The sequence below is a fragment of the Homo sapiens genome, chromosome 20 (genome assembly GCF_000001405.40).
Source record: "Homo sapiens chromosome 20, GRCh38.p14 Primary Assembly".
In the NCBI taxonomy this organism is placed as follows: domain Eukaryota; kingdom Metazoa; phylum Chordata; class Mammalia; order Primates; family Hominidae; genus Homo; species Homo sapiens.
In genome coordinates, this window is record NC_000020.11 from 60,201,610 (window position 1) to 60,226,196 (window position 24,587).

At 45.8% G+C, this 24,587-nt stretch overlaps 1 long non-coding RNA gene across 1 annotated transcript in view, besides 2 other annotated features; it reads left to right on the top strand.

Annotated features, from left to right (window-relative positions):
• Window positions 1-24,587, top strand: part of MIR646HG (MIR646 host gene) — a 183,765-nt gene that overhangs the window by 63,118 nt on the left and 96,060 nt on the right. The window lies entirely within an intron of this gene.
• Window positions 9,531-9,770: a silencer, noted in NCBI's record as "fragment chr20:58786198-58786437 (GRCh37/hg19 assembly coordinates)". NCBI's record gives its function as "represses an EF-1alpha promoter that drives an FKBP-Casp9 reporter gene in an ReSE screen in HepG2 liver carcinoma cells {active_cell/tissue: HepG2}" and the evidence as "EXISTENCE:reporter gene assay evidence [ECO:0000049][PMID:32094911]".
• Window positions 11,642-12,142: an enhancer, noted in NCBI's record as "H3K4me1 hESC enhancer chr20:58788309-58788809 (GRCh37/hg19 assembly coordinates)". NCBI's record gives its function as "activates a minimal SCP1, AML or CMV promoter by ChIP-STARR-seq in primed H9 embryonic stem cells {active_cell/tissue: H9 hESC(primed)}" and the evidence as "EXISTENCE:reporter gene assay evidence [ECO:0000049][PMID:30033119]".

Genomic DNA, 24,587 nt, shown 5'->3' on the forward strand with positions numbered 1-24,587 from the left:
GTGGGTCTGCACCATCCTTACCACATGGTCTGAGAGTAGGGAAGGGGTGAGGTCCCCAAACAAAATGATGACAGCACACCTGGAAGAAGGGGAATGCTTGCTGGGCAGTGAAGAGGTGTCTTTCACATTAAGGCTGAGAAATGGAAAATTAATCGGTGATCCAAGTGAGGCTCAAGAGGAAATTCTCCCTACTGCCTATTCAATTGGAATTCCCCTGAGGTTGGTGCTCAATGAAACTTTGTTAAATATGTTAAATGAAATAATTGTTCAAGAAAGCAGAAGATAGCAAACTGTCATCTGTAAGGCAAAATTGCAAACTACTGGAGATCGGTACAGTGGCTGACTCCCTTCCACCTGACTGGTTTGAAAATCAAATGATTTGACACATGGGCTCCTTGGAGAGATGAGGCGCCACAGCGTTTGGGCAGAGTTAGGCAAGGTTCCCACAAGATCTGCTGCAACCCAACACTGAAAACCCAGAATGATCCAGCCTTGCTCCCCGTCCTGATGTCTGCCGGCACTGCTGGGCAGAGGAAGGGCTCCTGTGTTATAGGCAGCTCCCCCACAGGCCCCTGGGTTGTCCTGACAAAGGAGAGGATGGCACCAGTCGCAGAAGCTGCCTGCCAACTCTCACAGTTGTTCTGGGCAGATAACTCCGTCCTGACAAGCCTGACTTGCCCTAGAGTCTCTCCAAAGCAAGGGCTGTGGCTGCAGGAGGGAGGGACATGGCTGCTCTGGACACCCTCAGGGTATTGTTCTTACGTGATCTGTGGACAAGCAGATTTGGTCCTTTAAACTCTGCCTTTACCTGTGGGCTGCTATTTCCCATCCACAACCCTTCTTCACCACTGTGGTTCCACTTAGGTGACTGCAGACCTAAAGCCCTACTGGGAGCATTGCATTTTCCAGCTTTCCTCTTTCAGTCTGTAATTGTCTTAAATAATAACACTAGGTGCAGCCCCGAATGGATGGCGTGCAGGCTCCCAGGTCACTAAAAAGTGGGTCCTAAACCATAGCTTTCTTTATGCCAGCTGTGTGTCTTTGGGAGAGAGGCTTACATTTTTGTTCCAATCTTTTTCGTTTTTTGATAAACTTTTTATTTCAGAATAGTTTAGATTTATAGAAAAACTACTAATACACCACAGAAAGCTCAACTGTCCCCATTATTGACAACCTACATCAGTATGACATATTTGTTATAATTAATCAATATTGATGCATTCTCATTAACTAAGGTCCAAACCTCATGTGGAGTTCCTTATTTTTTCCTCTGTGATGTCCCTTTTCTCTTGCAGGTGCCCATCCAGGACCCCACATGACAGCTAGTCATCATGTCTCCTTGAGAACCTCTTGGCTGTGACAGTTTCTCTGACTGTCTTTGTTTTTGATAACCTTGACAGTTTTGAGGAGGGTCCGGTCAGGGTTTTTGTAGAATATCCTTCAGTTGGGATTCATCCAATGTCTTTCTCATTGTTAGACAGGGAACATGGGGAGGCCTGTTCTATTTTCTTTTCTGATGGCTGACATGTAGTGAGCATCTGCTCTGATCTAGCACAGTGCTGATCACTGCTCCTGGATGATCTCATTTAATCATTACAAAGCAAACACCACATAGATATCATGATTAAGCCCATTTTACAGATGTGAAAAGTGAAGCACAGCAAGGACTAGTACCTTTGCTAAGTCCCGACAGCTGGGAAGATGGACAGCCGGTGGTGTTAATCGGAGTCTAGAGAGAACCAGAGATCAGGGATGCCAAATCCTCCTAGGATGCAGGCTAGAATGGAATCTTGATCATAAAAAACTTGCCATTTATTTGTGGCAGGTCTATGAGCTCTAGTTTTAAATTTTGTCAACTCCTACTGGCTTGAGCAAGACGTTTGACTCGAGGCCTGTAGCTTCCTAGGCCTGGCAACCTCCCACCATAGAAGGCCCTCCAAGGCCAGGGAGCCTGGACCTCTGTGGGCAAGAAGGTGTAGATGCAGCAAGCCTGGGCAGGGATGGCCTGATGAGTCCCACCCCAACTATGAAAGGAATTTGCAGGAGAGCTGGAAGGACAGAGGAGTTCAGAATTTAGGTGGGAGTGATGTCTAGTGTGGGCAAAAGGTAGCAGGGGAGGGGAAGCAAGGCAGCCTCGGGCCGTTTCACACAAAGGGTGGGTGAGCCCGGCCAGTCTGCAGCAGATATTCAGCCACTGCCCCTGCCCCAGCCCACTCATCAGCTCGTGGCTTCATCATGCTGTGGGATCCTGCAAACTACATTTCTCCTTTGGGTCCTGACAACAGGCAGGAGGCTGCAGGGCTCCTTTGTGTTCGGGTGTCCCCCAGCTGTGGGCTCCAAGCTCTACTTCTTCCAACACCCCAAAGCCAGCCTCGGGGGCCTGTGAGGCTCCTGTACACAGTGGGCCGTGCCCTCTGCTCTGTCCTCCCAGCTTCTAGGTTCTGATGGCTAACAATGAACATTTACTAGTTTAGTGTTGCCCTCAATTCAGTCTTTTTTTTTTTTGAGGCAGAGTCTCACTGTCACCCAGGCTGGAGTGCAGTGGCGTGATCACGGCTCACTGCAGCCTCCACCACCCAGGTTCAAGTGATCCTGCTGCCTCCACCTCCCCAGTAGCTGGGACTACACACAGTCTCACACCACCATGCCTGGCTAATTTTTGTATTTTTTGTAGAGATGGGATTTCACCATGTCACCCAGGCTAACCTGGAACTCCTGGGCTCAAGTGATCCTCCCGCCTTGGCCTCCCAAAGTGCTGGGATTACAGGTATGAGCCACCACGCCCAGCCAGTTCAGTTATTTATGTACCACCCTATGGATGGTTTTCAAATCCTACACTGCAAGTCAATTCATTCTTTTAAATATAAACATTTAAAATTTAAAGGTATGTATTTTTAAAAGACACTTCATATTTTTATTATCAGTGAAAAACGAATGTCTTAATTTGTCTTAATTTTTAAAAAATGCACGGCAATTAAACAAGTGTTTGTCCTTGTACTAAAATCTGTCTCCCACCATTCACGATGGAGTAACAGCCTCTGCAAAACCCTGGGGTATTCATTCAAATGGTATTTATTGAGGACCTATGGATGCAAATGCTTTTGTAATTGCTCTGAGGAGTTTTACAAAGGTGACCCAGACCCTCAGCCACAGTAAACCAGGCTTTCAAGCCTTCCTCCCCCACCGCCTTTCCACCCACAATGACCACTCAAACACGGAGCTTGGAATCCTTTGAAATGCCTGGTGGAGCTGGCTCTGTCCCTGATGGGTATGGCTGGTGTGAGGAACTGGGGACATCAGGGAGAACGCAGAACTGAACTTGAATTACTCACATCACACATGAGCTGAAACCCCCAGAAGTTTAACAGGACATTATTCATTATAATTTATGGAAATATATTAGAGAATTTCCCAATGTAACTGAAAAGGTCTAAATGATATTCAAAGGAGAATATTTAATGACATGTTAGAAGGTACTACATTTGAGAGCTGTTTGTTAAAGTGCTCCCAATTTTGACAAACGTTTGTAGAAGTGTTTTTTTTTTTAAATCCTGAGGGAACAGAAGTAATAATGTGGGTAAAAACTTTGAGTAATATTTACAAATGACACTGGGAAAAATAAGAAAGCATCTGACGTATTTTCTCTTGTTTGCATAATAAAATCAGACATCACTGGCTTATGTACATAATTATCAGGACTCATCTTTATAAAACCAATAAGGAATGTTAAATCAAGAATTTTTGTTAGAATTTTAAGTTAAACAGATGGTAAAGACTTACTAGTGCCGATTCATCTAATAAAAAAAAATCTCAGGATAACTTCATCTAATTTCATAAAATCAAAGCAAATAGAGTAAGTGCTTTACCATTTTCTTTTGAGAATATATACGTGTATATGAATATATATGTGTGTGTATATGAATATATGTGTATATATGTATGTGTGTGTGTATATTGCATTAAGTACATTTACAATGCTGTGAAAACATAATCGCTACCCACTTCCAGAACTTCCTTATCATCCTAAACAGAGGTTCTGTACCCACTAAACAATAACCCCCATTTTCTCCCTCTCCTCAGCCACTGATTATCTCTATTCTCGCTTCTGTCTCTGTGAATTTGCCAATTTTAGTTACCTTACATAAGAGGAATCATACAATATTTGTCTTTTTGTGTCTGTCTTATTCCACTTATAATATCTCCAAGGCTCATGCATGTTGCAGCATGTATCTGCATTTCATTCATTTTTAGAGTTGAATAATATTCCATTGTGTGGCTATGTCATATTTTGTTGGTCTTTCTATCTATTGAAGAGCATTTGGGTTGTTTCCACCTCTTGATTACCGTGAATAATGCAGCCATGAATATGGGTATTCAGGTGCCTGTTTGAGTCCCTGCTTTTAATTTTCATGGTTATATCCCTAGGAGCGGAATTGCTGTGTCGTATGGTTATTGGATGTTTAACTTTTTGAGGAACCCTTTTGTCATACTTTTATGTCAAATGAATCCTTTGGAAATTGAATTTATCTGTACAGTTATGAGGCACAGTCCTTTTTAAATTTTATTTTAAAATCCAGAAGCATTTGGTTACCCACTAATACCTACTGAGCCCCTCCTGATTGCTAGGCTGGGTTCTAGATGCGGGGACTATGTAGAGAACAAAACACAGCCCTTGTTCTCGTGCAACTTATGTTCTAATGTGGGAGACAGAAAGCAAGCATGTGAATCTATGATGTCAGAGAGTAAGAAAGTCCTAAGAGGACACAGAACAGAAGAGGGCGATGGAGAGTCTCCCTGAGCTCCTGTCATCACTGGGTGGCTGGGGAAGGCTCCTGCAGGGAGGCATTGAAGCAGAAACCTCCACTGACTGAGGAAGCCATGGTGGGGGAAGCTGGAAGGAAAACATTCCTAGCTGGAGGCACAGCAAGTGCAAAGGTTTGGCAGAATCCTAGAGCGGCTGGAAGCCTTGTGGCTGCAGCCCTGTGAGGGAGGGTGATTAGGGGGAAGCTGGCTGGATCACAGAGGGGCTCCCCAGCTGTATCAGTCAGTCCTCATATTGCTATAAAGAAATACCTGAGGCCAGGCACGGTGGCTCACGCCTGTAATCCCAGCACTTTGGTAGGCTGAGACAGGAGGATCACCTGAGGTCAGGAGTTCGAGACTAGCCTGGCCAACATGGTGAAACCCCATTTCTACTAAAAAATACAAAAATTAGCTGGGCATGGTGGTGCATGCCTGTGATCCCAGCTACTGGTGGGGTGGGGAGCTGAGGCAGGAGAATCACTTGAACCCAGGAGATGGAGGTTACAGTAAGCTGAGATCGCACCATTGCACTCCAGCCTGGGTGACAGAGGGAGACCCTGTCTCAAAAAAAAAAAAAAAAAAAAAAAAAAGAAGGAAAGAAAGAAAAATACCTGAGACTGAGTAATATGTTTGTTTGTTTTGAGACGGAGTCTCACTCTGTCACCCAGGCTAGAGTGCAGTGGCACAATCTCAGCTCACTGCAACCTCTGCCTCCCGGGTTCAAGCAATTATCCTGCCTCAGACTTCTGAGTAGCTGGGACTACAGGCACCCACTACCATGCCCGGCTAATTTTTTGTATTTTTAGTAGAGAAGGGGTTTCACCATGTTAGCCAGGATGGTCTCGATCTCCTGACCTCGTGATCCTCCCTCCTGGCCTCCCAAAGTGCTGGGATTACAGGCTTGAGCCACCATGCCTGGCCGAGACTGGGTAATTTATAAGAAGAGAGGTTTCATTGCCTATGGCTCCACAGGCTGTAGAGGAAGCATGGCAGCATCTGCTTCTGAGGAGGTCTCAGGGAGCTTCCAATCACGGCGGAAGGCAAAGTGGGAGCAGGCGTCTTACAGGACAGGAGCAGGACCAAGGGGGTGGGGGAGGTGCTGCACACTTTTAAACAGCCAGATATCAGGGGATCTCACTCATGATCAGACCGGCACCAAGGGGGAGATTAGCCCCCATTATCCAGTCACTTCCAACTAGGCCCCAGCTGGGGATTACAGTTCGATATGAGGTTTGGGTGGGGACACAGATCCAAACCATATCATCAGCTATGTGAGAACTTTGGGTTTCTGGTTGAGGGCAATGGCAGGCCCTTGCCAGGTTTTGTGCTGGGAGTGAGAGGATCTGGTTTCTATTTTGAAAGGATCCTTCTGCCTGTTGGTGAAAATGACTGGGGAGGGCAGAGAGTGGAAACAGGGAGGCCCACTTGCTCTCTGTGTGGGACGGCACCCCTGAGAGGGCATTTCTTCCAGGCTTAGGGAGTCAGTGCATGAAGAGCACGTTGAAACCGGCATTTCAATCTGACATTGAAGTTGCTTTCCAGGAAATTACACTCTTTCAACGCCTACATTAGAAGGGCTATGTGGGCCGTTCACCTTTTGCCTTTTCAATTTCTCATCAAACTCATTGCCCAGTGTACTCCTGTCATTACGCACAAATGAGCACATGAGGAGCAAATGGCATCCACACCTTTGCCAGCATCTCGGCAGCTGAGTCCTCCCCACACACAAAAGATGCTAAAGAGGACGTATGGGTCAAGATGCTCCTCTCTAAGCTAGGACCCAGGAAAAATAGTCTGTAAAATTAAGTGAATGCCTTCTTTCTGTGTGCTTCTCTCATCCTGTTTGAAGAAAACCAAATGCGAAAGAAGAATTAAAGAAGAAATCTGAAAGACTTCCCACGCGGAACTCTGGGATGGTAACCAAACCCAACCTCTAACCTTAATGTGAAGAGTATCTTGGGTTGTAATAACAAAAACAAAACAAAAAAATTTAGATTTTTAAGCACTTTGTTTATCTAGTTTTACAAACTTAGGAGTTACATGTTCCTTATTAAAATTTATTGGTGGAGGAGAAGAAGAGAATAGAAGAGGAAAATATCAATTGTTCCGTTTTGAGTACATGTTTCTCTTGATTAGTGAAGGGTTATTTCCAAATTTAATATGAGATGTTGGTGATCTGACGTTTAACATTTGAAGTTACTTAGAGTAACTTATTTCCCCAAATTCAGTAATGCCAAGAAACACAATTAAGCTGATTAACTCCATGGAATGGGCCGTCTGTGCTGTTTAATCCATTTTGGGGATGGTGACCTCCGACACCACACTTTGGCATCAGTATTGATGACTTCGTACATTTCCTGGCCCTCTCTACACTGGGGAAGTCATGTAACCACAGAAATAGTATTTATTTTTCTTACATGTTAAATCCCATCCCAAATCATATGGGAAGAGCAAAACGACAGTGCAAATTATAATCCAAACGAGATAAAGTGACAACAGTAGACCAGGAGGTCTTGAAAGTTAAAAGGCAAATAAAATCAGCCACTCAGAGAAACGAAGCCAGAGCAAACACAGGCAAAGGTCCGGGAAGGGCAGGAAAGAGTCCAGAGCTGAAGACCTGGCAGGCGGGAGGGTGGAGGTGGGGTTCAGGGGCTTTGCCAAGCAGGTTACCTGAGGGTCTTCATTCGGGGAGGAGGCTCTTTCCATCTCTCCACAGTGTCAAGTAGGAGTGATATTTGCCTGAGGCCAAAGCGGGTAGTGAGGGCTCCAGGTCACAAAGCCAGTGAGTCAGTGACCTCCAGAGAGCCAGGGTGGCTCCCACACCCAGAAAACAAGATCTGTCAGCCAGCAGCAGCTGGCCCTGCCCCTGCCCACAATCTCAGAAAGCAGGCATCAATAAATGGACCAGGCAGGAAACCAGGGCGTTTAACACATAAAGATAAGCAAATCATCACACATCAGCAGACACTTGAGAGAAATCAACAGTGGGGTGCATGACTCCAAATGCATCCAACTGAAGAACCAAAATGTAACGAATGGGAATAACCCAGCAAACTGAAGAAAATGGAGCAACTTTAGGTACTTTGGAGAGATTCAAGTATGTAAAGCATCATCTATGATGTAAATGAATCCACCAGAGATCTAAGAAGTTAAAAATGGGATTATTGAAATGCTGTATTAAGCTCCATGCATGGGCTGAGTAGCAGAATGGATATAGCTAAAGCTTAAGGGATTCTTCTAGAATGCACCAACATTCTATGTGTAAGATAGATGAGAGAATGTAAGATAGATAAGAGGCATAGAGAATGAATCTCCACGATGGACATCTAGTTAAAGAATTCTGGGAAGGAAGAAAAGAGGCAATGTGGAGAAGGAATTGAAAAGAAAAAATCAGTGAAAATTTTCCAGAGTTACAAAAAGACACGTGTCATCATATTGAAGGTACCCACTGCATTGGGAGCAGGAGAAATAAGAAAGGCCTGCGCTGGACACATTGTGCTGAATTTTCAGAAAACCAAGGCCGAGTAGAATATCAAAAGCTCCCAGAAAGAAAAATGAGGTTTCTTGCAAAGAAACACAGTTCAGATCGGCATTAGACTTCTCACTGCCAGTGTCAGATGTTAGGAGATGATGTGGGACTTGGCAGTTCTGAGGGAAGCTGGCTTGCACGTAGGATCTTGTGTTGAGCCGAAATCACATTCAGGTTAGAGAGCAAAATGGAACCCTGCAGAGATGCAAGGACCCAAAAAGCTTGCCTTCCAGAGATACTCTGAGGATGACTCGAGTATGTCCTCAAGCACCGTGAGAGTAAATCCAAAATTAGTACATGTTTGCAACACAATTCAAATAATGCAAACATGTACAAAGTAGAAAGTGAATTTCCTCCTTTTCCTCCCACCCCCAAGATAGCCACTGTTTGTAACATCACAGTGTAGAACACATTCTTCCAGATATTATGTGTGTGTGCGTGTGTGTGTGTGTAGAACACACATCTTTACAGAAAGACCACATTCTACATGATTTTGGCAAAGCTGCTTTTGTAACTGGAAATTTTACTATGGCAAACAGTCCAGTCTCCTTACGTGCATAACTCCTGGTTCATGGCAAATTGGTTCATGGTAAATTTCACACAGGCTTCTGTGCCCTAGAGGGCCTTAATTTATTTTACCAGTCCTATTAACAATGTTTACATTGCTTTTATATTTCACTACTAAACGAACACTGCAGTGAGTATCCCTTGGATTTTTATCTCTGCATACAAGCTAATATTTATGCAAGATAAACCTCTAGAATTGGAATAATTGCTAGATTAGAGGAAATGGCCAATTAAAAAAGTGATAGATCTTACTAACTCTTCCTCCAACATAATAGTAACCATTTATTATTTATTATTTTTATTTTTTTAAAGACGAGGTCTCACTCTGTTGCCCAGGCTGGCGTGCAGTGGCGTGATCACAGGTCACTGCCGCCTGGAACTCCCAGGTTCAAGCGATCCTCCCACCTTGGCCTCCCCAGTAGCTACAACTACAGGTCCATGCCACGCCACCGTGCCAGGCTAATTTTTATTTTCGGTAGACACGGTGTCTCACTATGTTGCTCAGGCTGGTCTCAAACTCCTGGACTTAAGTAACCCTCCCACCTCGGCCTCCCAAAGTGCTGGGATTACAGATGTCAGCCACTGTGCCTGGCCCATTTATTCTTTAGATGACCGAGTTGGGCATTCAGCTCATCCAGGGATGGGTGTGTGTGTGTGTGTGCTGGGGAAGGGGTGCTGGTATCGGAGCTTCTGAATCCTGAAAGTGTCGGACGGGGCTGAACCACAGGGTTGAGCGTCCTGCCTGGGCTGTGAAGTTTCTCCTACAGATGGCGCTGTTGCCTCGCGCCTGTCACTCAGGCCGAGGGGCAGAGTGGTAATTCTAAGACAAAAAGAAATTAAGCAGCACGCAAGCGGGCTGCCGCATTTTTATGTTTATGCCGAGACGACCCAAATCTATGTTTCTTCACCTTCCTGGCTGTACAACTCAGATAACTTTGTGATCCACTCTTCTTCAGAAGGAAGAAAGAAAAGATTCTATTTGACCGTCTTTTTTGAAATCCTTAGAAATCCACCCTTTGAACATAAGTCTTTGAGAACTTCCATCAATGTGCATAGTGAGTGTGTTTCAGGAGAAGAAATAATTTAGATTTTAGCTCAGTATTTTGTTTTTCATTCTATTTCTTCTTCTAAAAACAAAAACAAAAACCTCTTGATCCAAAGGAAACACATGGAGAATGGAGAATTCCACAGCAGCCTTGCAGCATGAGCGGCTCCGGATGGCCCTGCCTCTGGGCTCCAGACCCCCAGTGTTTGGTTCCAGGGCTTCTGCCCAGTGGTGATGGGGCTGGGAGACTAGACTCACTGTGTTGGGAGAGCAGTGGGTGTCTCCTGGGCAGGAGAGCCTCATCCCTGTGCGCACCCACGCTGGGGCCTTCTAGGTGTGTGTCCCCGAGTGTGTTCAGTATGTCTCATGTGTTCAAGTGACAGACTCGAGCTGGTAAGGACCTGGAGTGCCTTTCTACCCAGGCAGAAATCAGGAATAAAGTGTGAGCTGTTGACAATCAGGCTTCCCGGACTGTAACTACCAGGTTCAGAACATGCTTGGAGTTAGGTTTTAAATGTAAGTGGTAAGACTGTCCTCTCTGCCCGTTTGAAATGAGCACAGGCCGTGTTGCAGGTCTCTGATTCGGAGTAAAGATGAGCCTGGCTTCCTCTGCGGAGGAGGCCAGAAGCAGGTGCGGAGGGCTTAGCAGAGGCCTTTGCACTCAGAGACTTGCATCTCCTGCATCTTTTTAGGCCTGGAAGGCACCCGCATGCTCCTCTCGGCGCAAAGGTTCCAGGAGGTGGTGACCTTGATGAATCTCAGTCAAGATTATGAATAATTTAGGAGTAACACAACCCAGCCAGAGAATGCTTTCCCAGACAGCAGACAGGCTGCCGTTCTTCCAGGCGTCCCTAAATGGGCATCAGATATAGGAAGACTGGTGGGCACAGCAGCGGAGGGCTTTTTTCTTGGCATTATTAAAAGCTGACGTGCTTCTTTGTGTGAGTTGCTTGTTCCACTGACATAGAATTGTTTTGTTGTCACTGTAGCTTTAGTGTACACATAAGCAAAGCAAGCTCTTTAGGTACCGTGAAAAAGCGATGGTGGATATTTCTGTGTGTCTTGAGCATAAATTGTAAGAAAACCAAACAGATTTTAAAGGGTTTGGGGGGGATGGCGGGGAGATCTGGGTGTTTGCAGAAGAAGGGACTGTGGCTGGGGGTTCTGAACAGGCACTGCCATATGTCCCAGGCCACGTTTAGTGCACAGTGATTATGGCAAAGGTGGGAACTTGAAGGGGTGACCTGGTAGCATTATGCTAGAACCTGAGTGGCAGTGGTCCTGGGCTGGACACAGGAGCCTGGCCCTAGTGAAGGATCTTGGGCAGCGGTCAGGGAGCAAAGGCCTTGGGGTCATGGCCAGAGGTCAAGAGCTAAGTGGTATCTGGGAGCCAAGAGGTCAAGGCAAAGGGCCTCCTGCCAGTGTTTAATGTTGGCCAGAAGCAAACTCAAGGCTTGGGAGGCAGGTCAGCAAAGCAGGAAGGAATGGGCCGGGGAGGACCCAGGTAACAAGAACTTGGTGGAAGCTTAGTGAGAAAGCAAGTGGGGTGGAGAGGGAGGGATTCATATCGCAGGCATCATTTCACGGTCATGTGCCATGTGGCATGGGGTGCGTGGGAGGCCTCACGTGGGTTTCTCCTGCTGGCAGGAAGGGCTCCATCCTGTGCTCAACCCTGGGGATGCTGGACAGCTTTGAGGAGGTCACAGAACCAGGCCAGTGTTCGAACTCAGGAGCCGAATGTGGAGCCTGTGCTCGTAGGTGTCGCTAATTCCACTCCTGCTTCCTGTGTCCTGTAAGCTTAAGTGACATGCTCCAGGCAGCGCTTAATCTAGGGCGTCTGGATTCCCACCCAGGCGTTTCAGACGCCCAAGCCCAGCCTCCTCGACTCAGCCATGCTGCTATGCCTCTGACTGTGGATCCCAGGCCAAAGACAGAGGTTCTAACCCCCTTCTCCCCCAAGGTGGCTACCTTAGTTAACAGCTTTCTTGCCATCTGCCCTTCCCATCTCCACCCACCCCAAGTCCCTTCCTTTCTACCTGTGGAATGTCTACTGGTCTCAGCCTCCTCCCCCGAGTGCCTCTTCCCTTCCAGCTGTCATCAGGACCATGTGACTCCTAGGACTCACTCTCTGCCTGCCCTACCTGCCCCCAACTACCTCTGCCACCTGCTGCTACCCTCCCCCAATCCATCCTGTCCATGAATACCAGGGCCTTTCTAAAGCAGTGATGGAAGCTGAACACGCCCTGCTGGAAAGGCAGTGATGGCTTCCCCTTATCCTAACTCTGCAGCCTGGATGTCACTTCCTCTCTGAATCTCATGGTCCAGCTCTTGTGGTGGGAGCTGCCTGGAGCTCCATAGAAGGATTCGAAGGCCAGGTCAGAGCTTCCTGGAGCCTAGGGCCATGATTGATTAGTAATGCCTCCAGGGCACAGGACGGGTAAGCAGGGGTGTGTTTACCATCAATCTCTCTCTCTGGCAACTTGTGGTCACTTGAGCATACTATATGGTTTTGGGAGCCTGAGTTTTGAATGTCCCTTTCATTTCATAGGATATTTTACCCTCTTTGGGTCACTTTGCAAACTCTTAATTGTCCTTCAAGACTCTTCTCTGCAGAAGTCAATCCTTTGAGGTTTTAACAGACCCCACGAGCCGTGTTATCCCCAGTTGCTGCTATAAACCCTTGGATATCTCTCTGGGCCTTCACTTCATGCCCTGCAATCGTGAACATACTCCTCCCCCATCTTTCCCTGCCTGCCGTTTACTGTGGGTTCCTGAAAGCACGGAGGGTTTTAGAAATTGCAAATTCCCAGTAGCTGGCACATAATCAATATTCAAAAATGAGAGTTGAGTTTTGGAAATCTACATCCTTTATATCTGCCTTTAAAATCAGCCGAGGAGAGCACGAGTAAATGGAGTTCTTATTTAACTGTATAAATGAATTCTTTTACCTGCTCAACTTTCCTGAAAGAGTAAGGCCAAGGAATTAAAATACAAAGATAGCAGGATTCAGTTAAGGAAAAGAAATTAACATCCAGGTCGCTTCTGAATTAGCTTTGCTTCAGTTTGCACATACTTACAAAGCTCCTACTTTGTGCTGGACACAGTCATGGATTCCCCTGCGTGTCTACCCTTAGTGTCTTGGATGATGAGAATCAATCTCAGGGTTCCAGCGAGATGGGGATGCCCAGGCATAGGTTTGAGAACTTAATAAGTTCATCAACAGGTGGAGAAATGGATCCACCCCTTCAAGCCTTGACTCGCTCGTGTGCAAAGTGAAGGAGACCAAGTCACTCTTGGCTCCCATTCATTTACCAACATGCACTCTTTCTCCTCTTGGTAAGCATTTTCGATGGATTAGCCCCGTTCATACTTACAACACCCTTGGTAAGCATTTTCAATGGGTTAGCCCCATTCATACTTACAACAAACCCGCAGGGAAGGCAGTAGGATTATTCCCATTTTATAGACACAGAGGCTGAGGCTCAAGTTGTGAGAGGAGCTGCTATATCCACTGCTTTTTCAGAAGTCAGCTTCTGAGGATCCAATAAAATGCAGCATGGAAAGTAGCTCAGAAAACCACCCAAAGCCATCGTACTTCGTTCACTCTGCGAGTGGCTGTCAGCCAGCTTTCCTTGGTCAGGGATCTGGTCCACAAGTGCTGAACCCGAGGACGGAGCAGCGAGGAGCACAGACAAGTCTGGGCACTGGGGGACCCTGCAGCCCAATGAGTCGTGTGGGAAACAGATGTTCATCAAATTCACACCAGTTCAGCTCTCACGCCCCCTCTGTCTATTTGCTGTAGTATTTACCACATTCTGCCTTATCATGTACTTAATGCTGTGCACATCTGTCTCCTTTACAAGACAGGAAGGTTTTTGAAACAAGGGCCATATGCTTTTCATCTGTCCTAGTGCCTCGCGTGGTGCTTTGCAGAGCAGTCCGAGTGTAATTTCAGAAAGAATCAGATGATGAATTTAACTCCATCACTGCAGCCATGGTTTTCAGGTACATTCAGGGGTCGTGCAGCTTCTTCAGGAATTAAATCAATACCACATATATTCACTGAGCACCGACTGTGCCAGACTCTAGGGCATACTGGGAGGTGAGTGTCATGTCATCATCCCTGGCCCTGGAAGAGACATCAAATGCTGGGGGTTTTTTTGTGTGAGTTTTGAGGCATTGCTCTTTCTGAGCCCTTACATAAATTCTCATCCCAGGCATCCATGCAAAAGCCTCCGATTTTGCACATAGCACACTGACAGCTGGATCATGGGTGCCAGATTTTGTAGCTGCTAAGGGGAGGCTGCTGGGAGGAGGAGCAGGGAGGTGGCAGATGATGCAGGGAGAGAAGGATGGAGCTGCACCCTGGCTTGCTCCCTGCTCCAGTTGACTGGTACATTTCCCTGCTTCACGGCTCAGCCAGATGCAGTCACTTAACTCTGTGGTAGATCTCGCAGCACGACAGGTCGGGAGGATCCTAGGCCAGACCCTGGTCTTTCTTCCTGTGCTCCAGATAATTTGCCATCCCGCAGAACTGCTGGGTGGGGCTGCACACCATGCTGACCAGAGTGAGTGCATGATTCTGAGTCCAAGTCATCAGAGTGCAGCCTTGTCTGTGACAGTATTGCTGTGTGACTTTGGGTAAGTTACTTAATTTCCCTGTGCTGCAATGTCTCATGTGTAAAGTGGGATAGAAGAATAATCCCACCTTCTGAGGTTATGGAAAGGGTCACATAAAGGCATCTGTGCCGTGAGCTTAACATGGTGCTGGCAGGCATCCCAGGGCTCGGCTCATGCTGGATGCTGCCCTTGCTGTTTTAATCAAGGGCTGTTCAACCCGCTAGCAGCACCAACCAGCCCGTCAACCCCACACCTAGCCTGCTCTCACAACTGCTTGGGGAACTTTTACAAGAGACAAATTTTCTGCTATGCAGCCATGATGAAAAAGGAAATAGATGTCCACGTGCTGATGTGGAACAGTTTCCAAGATACATAGTGAGGAAGCACAGTGCTCTGTAATGTGCAGTCAGCTTCTATTTGTGTAAAATACTGGAGAGATTTACACACATGCTTGTATGTGCTCAAAATATTTCTCGAAGGATCCACAGGGAACTTGCTACAAAAAGGGCCTTTAGAAAAGAAATAAATGTTTGGGTACTGGGATTGGGGGGACAACTTTATATATTGTTTGAATTTTACCGTTTTTTTTTTTGTTTTTTTTTTTTGAGATGGATTTTTGCTCTTGTCGCCCAGGCTGGAGTGTAATGGTACAATCTTGGCTCACTGCAACCTCCTGGTTTCAAGTGATTCTCCTGCCTCAGCCTCTCGAGTAGCTGGGATTATAGGCACATGCCACCATGCCTGGCTAATTTTTGTATTTTTAGTAGAGAGGAAGTTTCGCGATGTTGGCCAGGCTGGTCTAGAACTCCTGACCTCAGGTGATCCATCCACCTTGGCCTCCCAAAGTGCTAAGATTGCAGGCGTTACTGTATTTTATTTCTTAAATGACAAAAGAGTCCATCTCCATCTGAATACAGATTCCTGGACCCTGTTTCTAGTCTTCTGATCTCATACTTTTCAAGTGGGATCTGGAAATACATGCCTTCATGATGTTTCCTAAGTGTTGTATATGATCCACTAGATTTTGGAACATCTGCTGTAGAGTGAGAAGGACAACCTGGGGGGCTGCTAATCAGCACCATCCCAGCATGTGGTGGGCCACAGGTTTGTGTTTGCCCGACTGATGTGAGTTGTGGAAGGGAAATGGAGGCAGATGCTTCAGGTTGGCTAATCCTATATCTGTTTCTAACTCCTTTCTCCCTTTTCTGTCTCCTCTTCGGAGGGTGGAAAGTGAAACACCCACTTTCTCAGACTCCTAGGAGTGGCCATATCTACACACAAGTGTTCTGGGAGGCTGCAGGAAAAGCTTTGGCTTTGGGGAGAAAAATGATATCCAGGGGTGATTGGCTCCAGGACTCCCTGCAAGCACCGAAGTCTGTGGATGCTCAAGTCCCTGATATAAAACGGCGTAGTTTTGCACATAACCTGTGCATATCCTCCTGTCTGCTTTAAATCATCTCTAGGCTACTTATAATGTCTAATACAATGGAAGTGCTATGGGAATAGTTGTTATAATACATTGTTTAGGGAACAATGACAAGAAAAAAGTCTGTACCTGTTCAGTACAGACACGATTATTTTCTCAAATATTTTTGATCTGCAGTTGGTTGAATCCAGGGATGTGGAACCCACAGACACGAAGGGCCAACTGTATTTAGATGGATTCCTTTCCATTTCCCTCTTATCTTTAACTCCTCCATGGTGTCTGGAGCTTTGGCAGCCATTTTGCACTCATGAAGAAAAGTCCAAGGGAAATTGTGAACACCTCAGCCGTGGTAGCATTAGACCCCTCAAATGATGCACCAGCCACCTTCCCAGACTTCTTGTCCTGTAGGTAAAAGAGGAACCCTTTTTTATTGAGGTTGGTCATGTTTTCTGTTATTTCCAGCTAAAAGGAACCTAATATATGGGCACTGAACTAGGGATGTGGGAGACTTGGGTTCCAGCCCTGGCTCTGCTTCTGATGGGCTGGGTGGCCTCAGGAAGATTTCTATCCCTTTCTGATCCCCAGTTTAACAACCTATAAAACATGTTGAGGCTGGGAGTGGTGGCTCATGCCTGTAACCTCAGCACTCTGGGAGGTCAAGGCGGGCAGATCACTTGAAGCCAGGAGTTTGAGACCAGCCTGGGCAACATGGTAAAATGCCATCTCTACTAAAAATACAAAAATTAGCCAGGTATTGTGGTGTGCACCTGTAGTCCCAGCTACTGGGGAGGCTGAGGTGGGAGGATCGCTTGAACCTGGGAGGCAGAGGCTGCAGTGAACCGAGGTTGCACCACTGTACTCCAGTCTTGGCAATAGAACTAGACTCTGTCTCAAAAAACAAACAAATGAACAAACAACAACAACAACAAACCCATGTTGAACATTATACCTCATAATGATGATGCTGAACATTTTTTAATATGCCAGTTGGACATTTGAATGTCTTCTTTTGAGAAATGTCTATTCAGAATTTTTGTCCATTTTAAATTGGACTTTTTTTTTTTTTTTTGCTATTGAGTTGACTTCCTTATTAGATATTTTGGATATTAGCTTCTTATCAGATACATAGTTTGCAAATATTTTCTCACATGCATAGGCTGTCTCTCCATTCTGTTGATCGTTTCTTTTGTTGTACAGAGCTTTTTAGTTGGATGTAATCCCATTTGCCTGCCTTTGGTTTTGTTTCCTGTGCTGTGAGCTCTAATCCAAAAAAATCCTTGCTCAGGCCAATGTCATCAAGCATTTCGTGGATGTTTTCTTCTAGTAGTCTATGGTTTTGGGTCTTACAACACCTAAATCTTTAATCCATTTTGGGTGATTTTTGTATAGGGTGACAGATAGGGGTCCAATTTCATGCTGCATGTGACTAGCCAGTTTTTCTGGTACCGTGTATTAAAGAGACTGTTCTTTCCCCAGTGGGTGTTCTCAGTACCTTTTTGAAAGGCCACTTAGCTCTGAGCGCATGGAGTTATTTCTGTGTTCTCTGCCCTGTTCCACCGGTGTATGTGTGTGTTTTTACTCCTCGGTCTTCAAGATTGTTGAGAGTTTGGAGCCTGGGTGCACCAGCTTCTTTGTATCTCACTGTCTTCCTCCCCAAACCCAGTGCCCAGCATATAGCCTGGCATGCATGAAAGGCTCAGCCAATTGTTTGGGTTTGATATACATGTTAATATTGGGAGATTGCTGCATACACTTAAGTGCCGATGTTTCAAGCTGGGGAGGCAGAAGTCTGGGGAAAACAACAGGTTGGAACTTCATTGCGACTCGGAACATGTCTGGCTGGCATATGAATCCATCTGCCATGACGGCTTGGATAAAAATAGTCCACATTGGAGGCTTCATTCTATTTGAATGTACAGATTAACCAGTACTATGACAACTATTTTCAGAAAGCAGCTTGCTGAAACTTTGTAATGATGTGTTTAGGCTTCACAGCTTCAAAACATGATCTTCTAGGTGAAAGATGGTAAATAGCTTCAAAGAAAGGTATTCCCCTCCCTTTCCTGCCCTTGGAAAACATAACTATATGATGAATAAAAATGACTCTGGACCTGTCCATACCACCCATGAAATGTTCCACTTCTTGAGTATTTTATGTAACCGTGTCAGCCTGGCACAGTGCATTAACACCAAGAGTTTCTTGTGATGTTTTCTGGCTGATAATATTTTCCTTACAAGTTCCCTATGAAATCTAAAGCAATAACAACAAAACAGGGCACTTCTACGCTCTTAAAAATGTCATTGTCCTATTTTTTAATTAGGCAGGATGTCCCTGATTTCCCAGGGGAGTCGATGGGACGCAGTGTTTTACAGCTTATCATTTGGACACCTTAAGTCTGAAGATTGGGTCCAGGTAACAGGGCCAACAAGAAACTCCTGCACCAGGGAGGTCAGGGACACAGGCCAGGAACGCTGGCTCAGGCATGGTGGCTGCAGCTCCTTGGTCACAGGATCTTGGGCATCCATCTCTGGCCAGTTTCCCCATCAGTAAAACACGAATGCTGGACCAGATAAGGGTTTCCCAACTCAGCACTACTGACGACTTGGGAAGGATGACTCTTTGTTGAGAGGGGCTGTCCTGTGCCAATTAAGATGTTTAGCAACACTCCTAACCACTACTACCCACTAGATGCTAGTAGCAACCCCCAGTTGGGATAACCGAAAATGTCTTCAACATTGCCAAATGCCCCTGGAAGGAGAGGGAAAAATGACCTGCGGTTGATGACCTCCTCGCTGTGGCTGACGTGCTTTGGTGATGCATATGGAGGAGATGATTCAGAGTGTTCACACTGTGCGTTTCCACTTCTTATGGCTCCTAATTACTCCCAGTGGCTCTGGAGTGGCTCCCCACCCTATGTGCACGTTCCTTCTGAAAGCCTGGGACAAACTTTACAGTTTTATATGTTTACTCAACTTTACAGTTTTATATGTTTTGTTCACGTATAACTCACATGCAGAAAAGTGCACGTCAAAAGTTTACATCTCAACGACTTTTCACAAAGTGAGCAATCCATGTGGATGTAGCCAGCACCTAAGCCAAGCTGCAGGACGGGAGCCACGCCCTCTCCTTCTTCTCCTCTTCCCCCTAGTTAGCCACTATCCTGACTTTGGAACCGTAGATTAGTTTTGTCTGGTTTGTTGAACTTGATACAATGGAGTCATCCTGTATGTGCTATTTATGTGCCTGGCTTCTTTCACTGTACATTACGTTCGTGAGATTCATTCATGCTCTGTGCACTTGCAGCCCATTCACTCTCAGCGTGGATGGTATTCATTATCTGACTGTGCGGCCACTGAATCTTCCATGCCACTGGGGAGGGGCCTTCGGGGCATCTACAGGCTGGGGATTATAAATTGCACTGCTGAGAACATTTGTGTGCATGTCTTTTCATGAATATGTGAATGCATTTCTGTTGAGTATATACTGAAGAGTGGAGTTGACAGGTCACAGGGCATGTACATATTCAGTTTTAGGGGCTGCCAGATACTTCTGGAAATTAATAAGAAAAAGACTGAAAACCCTATAGAAAAATCAGTAAAAGAGTTGAACGGTCACATCGCGAAAGAAGATGCTCAGTTGTCCAATAAACATGGAATGGTGGTGCTTAACCACTTTAGTCATCTAGGAAATACACATCAAAACCAGGCCATACTACTGCATCTCCATCAGTGGCTATAAAGAAGGACAAGTTGAAAAGGACATGGAGCAACCAGAAGTTCTGTATGCTGATGGTGGGAGTGGAAATCAGTGCAACCACTTTGGAAAACTGGCAATATCTTCTTTGAGGTTTGTAAGCCACAGAAAGGCACAGGTAAAAACGAACATTTATGATTTGGAACAACTAGGTTTTATATAAGATACAAAAATTAAACAAAGGATTTGTGCATTGCAAAAAGCTACAAGGAGGTCCAAAGCAGGAAGTTATGCAAAACATAGCATTTGCCCCTGACTGGGAGTGCAGGGAAGATGTGGAAGAGCAGAGAGGAAGAGAAGGAGGCTAGGGTTAGGTACCTACTCAAGAAGGTTGAAGGGAATTGTGGAAGGAGAGGGGCCGGTGTCCTGCTCCTGCTGTCAAACTCTAGAACCTTGTGGGGCTGCTGTGATCCCACAGAGAACGTGAAGAGGGCTCCCAGTTCCCTATGGCCAGTGCCAAGCTGCAAGTACATTAGGGAGTATCTCCAAGGCTTGTGGGTGGGGTAGGAAGTGAAAGACTAAGAGATCAGGGGCCAGGACCTTTTCAAGACTGGTGAGGAGGATGCAGGGAGGCCGTGGCAGGGACCACAGGCAGATGCCTTGCCAAGGAATGCCCACCAGCCAGAGAGATGGAGTCTAGCACCTGCAGACACATGCAGAGACCGGAGGGGCAGGGGGCTGATGGATCACCACCCTCCTCTGCCAGTTCACCCCCAGACAGGGAGAAGGAGCTAGAGAGTAAAGCAATGTAAGATGATTTGCCCAAACGTGACTAGTGAGTAAGATAAAAAAAAAAAATTCACATTTGACTAAAAATTTGGTGGATTAAACTGAATAGGTCCATAGGTGACAGCTTAAGTGTTCTTCTCTAGGAAGACTGGGGGATTGAGATAAAAGCTCAGTCAATTATAGCAGGCAAAGAAAAATTCACTGAGAGCAGTCAGGCCACTGGCTGTGAATTGCCCACGTCTCCCTTCTACCTGCAGCTCCCAACTGCAACACAGACGGTGTTCCCTTCTTCCCTCCCTGCTTTCCTTCTTTATAACAAAGACAACCATGAGCTATGGACTGGAGACCCAGCGGGCAAGAACACGAACACTGCTCTCTCCTTTACTTCTCTCTCCAGTCTAATGGGAGAAACAGCACAAAAGAGAATGACTACCTACACAGAATACTTTTACTGTTGTGTGTGATGAGTGATGCTTTAGGTGGTTGTTACAAAGAAGGCATCTCTGAGAAGCTTGGAAAGGATGAGGAGGAGGCAATTGTTCCAAGATAGTGAACACCCGGGAGCAAGCTCCAAGGAGTGGGAGTGGCCTGTGCAAAGGCCCTGGGGCAGGGCATGAGTAGGATTTTCCAGGGAGTAAAGGAAGTTGATTGTGGCTCAGTGCTCTGAAAGGATCATGGGCCGGGGCACAGACTGTGCAGCCCAGAGGGAGGGATTTTGGAGAAATAATGGAAAAACCATTGCAGGGATTTCAGCAACAGGAAAAGCAACCTAATTTATGTGATAGGCTCATTCTTCTTGCTGTGATATAGAGAATGTATTAGAGGAGAAGAGTGGAAGTGAGGGGCCATTTGGAGGTGGTGCCAGAGCCTGGAAATAATGGTGGCCTAGACTAAGCTGATGGCATGGAGAGAATGTGCATGGATTTAAGATCTCTTAGAAGCAGAAATATAATAACCATAACATACACTATTATTATTATAACCACCACTTCCTGATAACCTACTCTGTGCTGGGCAGTGTGCTTATAGTCTCATATATAATATTCAATTTAACCCCATGCGGTAGATACTGTCTTTATCATCCATGTTTTGTAGATGAAAAAATGGAGCTTCCTAAAAATTACATTGATACAGGGCAGGGGAGCCCCAAATTGGGGCTTAGACCAAAAGGGTTCTTTGCTTCACCCAGGAAAGAATTTGAGGGTAAGCTGGTGGTAGAAGAAAATGCTTTATTGAGATGGCAGTGTTACAGCCCCGTGACTGCTCCCACAGAACAGGCCACCCCATAGGCGGTGTGCTGAGAGTAGCAGGCCAGGGCAGTTCTGCAGTCGTATTTATACCCACTTTTTAATTTAAATTTAATTTAATTTAAGTTTTTGAGACAGAGTCTCGTTCTGTTGCCCAGACTGGAGTGCAGTGGTGCGATCTCAGGGTCATAGATAGTTTTTGTAAATGCTAAAGTAATATTCAAATTTGTATTACTTTCAGAGAATAAAGAACCACCAGTCCTAACAGCCCTAGTACAGTTTTTTCTTTTCTTTTTTTTTCTGGAGATAAGACTTCAGGAACAGGAATGGAAATGTCCTTTCAGAGAATCTCATGTCTAGAAAGTCCCAGAGAGGGTCGAACCTGAAGTTCTTTTTCCCTGAAACCAGAAGGAAAACCTCAGCTTGGGCTTAGGGCCTGTTCTGCCTCTGGAAACATCTCTGTTCTCCCATATATTATATTCCCCACTATGTGATGGCCCCTCACATTAGTCAGGAGTGCCTAGAACGTGTGTCCCTCACCGCCTTCCCAGGGGGTCTGCCCCCCAGAATGCCTGGCTTCACTTTCTACCTCTTTTGCAGAGCTTGCCTTGGCAAAACCATCCCCAACACCTCTCCTTCCACAACTCCCGTCCACCCCATTCTCCTCTCCTGCTTTGCCCATGATGATAATCACTAACATTTATTAAGCGGTTACTCTTTATCGAGAGTTTTGAAAGTGCTGCCTTGTTGGGCCCTGCCAGCCTCCCCAACAAGTAGGAGTTGTCCTATACATTCTGCTTACACATATGGAAACTGAGGTTTAGAGAGGTTTCAGGAACTTGACCAAGTCAGTCATGCTGGTGAAAGGTAGCCTGGGATTCCAGCCTCCATCCCTTTGAACAGCTGTGTCTCTGTTTCTCCATCTCCTCCTTGAGGTCAGGGCCTCATTGTCTCAGTAACTTCAGCGCTAGCAGAGTGCTGGGTGTGCGGGCACCCAGTACACATTTGCTGAGTTGAACTGAGTGCTAGAGAATGTTTGAGTGCATTGGAATGTTTGAGCTGGGCCAGATGCAAACCCAAGGTGTCCCATTGTCACAACCAGACACGGCGGCTGTACCCAGGTATGACAAAATGCTGCTGCTGCAGCTGATGGCAGGAAATCATGATGGAACACCTATTTTGTGTCAGACGCTGTGGAAAGCAATTCACAAAGTCATCTTCTATGGCCTGAACGTGATCTCCCCAAATTTATATTTTGAATCCTAATCTCTAATGTAATTGGGATTAGTGACTTTATTTTAAAAAGGCCCTGGAGAGACTCTTCAGCCCTTCTACCACTTGAGAGCATAGCAAGAAGACAGCCGTCTAGGAACCAGGAAGCCGGACCTCACTAGACATTGAATGTGTGGCATCTGAGTCTTGGACTTCCAGCCCCCACAACTGTGAGAAATGCATATTTTATTTTATTTTGTTTTGTTTTATTATTATTATTTTTTGAGACGGGGACTCTGTCTGTCACTCAGCCTGGAGTGCAGTGACACAATCATAGTTCACTGCAGCCTCAACCTCTCAGGCTCAAGCGGTCCTCCCTTTTCGGCCTCCCAAAATTCTGGGATTATAGGCGTAAGTCACCATGTTCATCCAAGAAATAAATTTTGTGTTGTTTATTTGGACTAAGATATCATCTTATTTTATCCTATGAAGGATCTGTTGTAAGCTTCAGTTAAGTGACTGGCCTGGCCGATGGAGACCAAACCTGGCCATGGGACTTGGGAGATGTAACCATCAGCATCACTTGCCCCCAAGGACCACCAGAGGGCAGATGAGAGGCAGGGGAGGACTCACCCTCAGAGCCCCAGGAGGAACCAACCTGGCTGACATCTTGATTTTGGAATTCTGGCCTCCAGAACTGGGAGAGAATATATTTCTGTTGTTTTAAGATGCCCAGTTGATGGTATTTTGTGAAGGCACCTCTAGGAAATGAACACAGAAGCTCAGGCAGGCCCGACTCTCAGTTCATTGGCCTCCTAGTAGGGGAGGCCTATAGAGCGTCTGTCGGGCTCACGGCAAATGACCCCCAGTTAACATTACGGTCTCCCCACATTATAACCATGGCGTGGCCTTTTCTGCTGATAGTTAGTCTAGGCAGAGGTCTTCCCTCGAGATATTCTGTCTGCTGAAAGGAAGGAGGATCTGGGAATTCTTCCACCATGACATGAGACATATTTAGCTTCATTGCAAACCTGAGGTTTTATCCTTTGGGAACATGAGGTAGTACCTGTGTGTGGAGGTGCGAGGGGGAGTGGGGCAGCCTGGAGAACCACCTGTGTCTTTGCATTTCCTGGGGGAGAAGGCCTAGGCTTGGGGGTTCAGCTGGGTCTTTGGCTAAACAGTATGATGGAGGAGGACAAGGGTGTCAGTGTCAGCCAGGCCCACTCTGAGTCCTGGCTGCTGGGCCGAGGGCAAGCTATCTAATGTTGCTCAGCCTCAGTCTTTGCGCCTGGGAAGTGGGCCTGGAGTTCAGGCAGTTAAAGCACTTAACACAGAGCCTAGAATAGGGAAGCAAAACAAAACATACATATATACGTATGTGTGTGTATGTATATGGTATAAGTGTTTATTAAAATTCACTTTAATTATAAAAGTTACACTGTTTATATCATCCCAAAGATTTAAATTTTTGAAAGGAGATCATATAAAAAGAAAAGAAAGAAAAAGAAAAAAAGTACATATAAAACAAATTAGAAATAAACATATAGAAGTACAGTCAGCCCTCTGTAATCCACAGATACTGCATTGAGGATTCCATCACCCTCAGATCAAATATATTAGAAAAAAGTAGCAAATATAACAATTAAAAATGATAC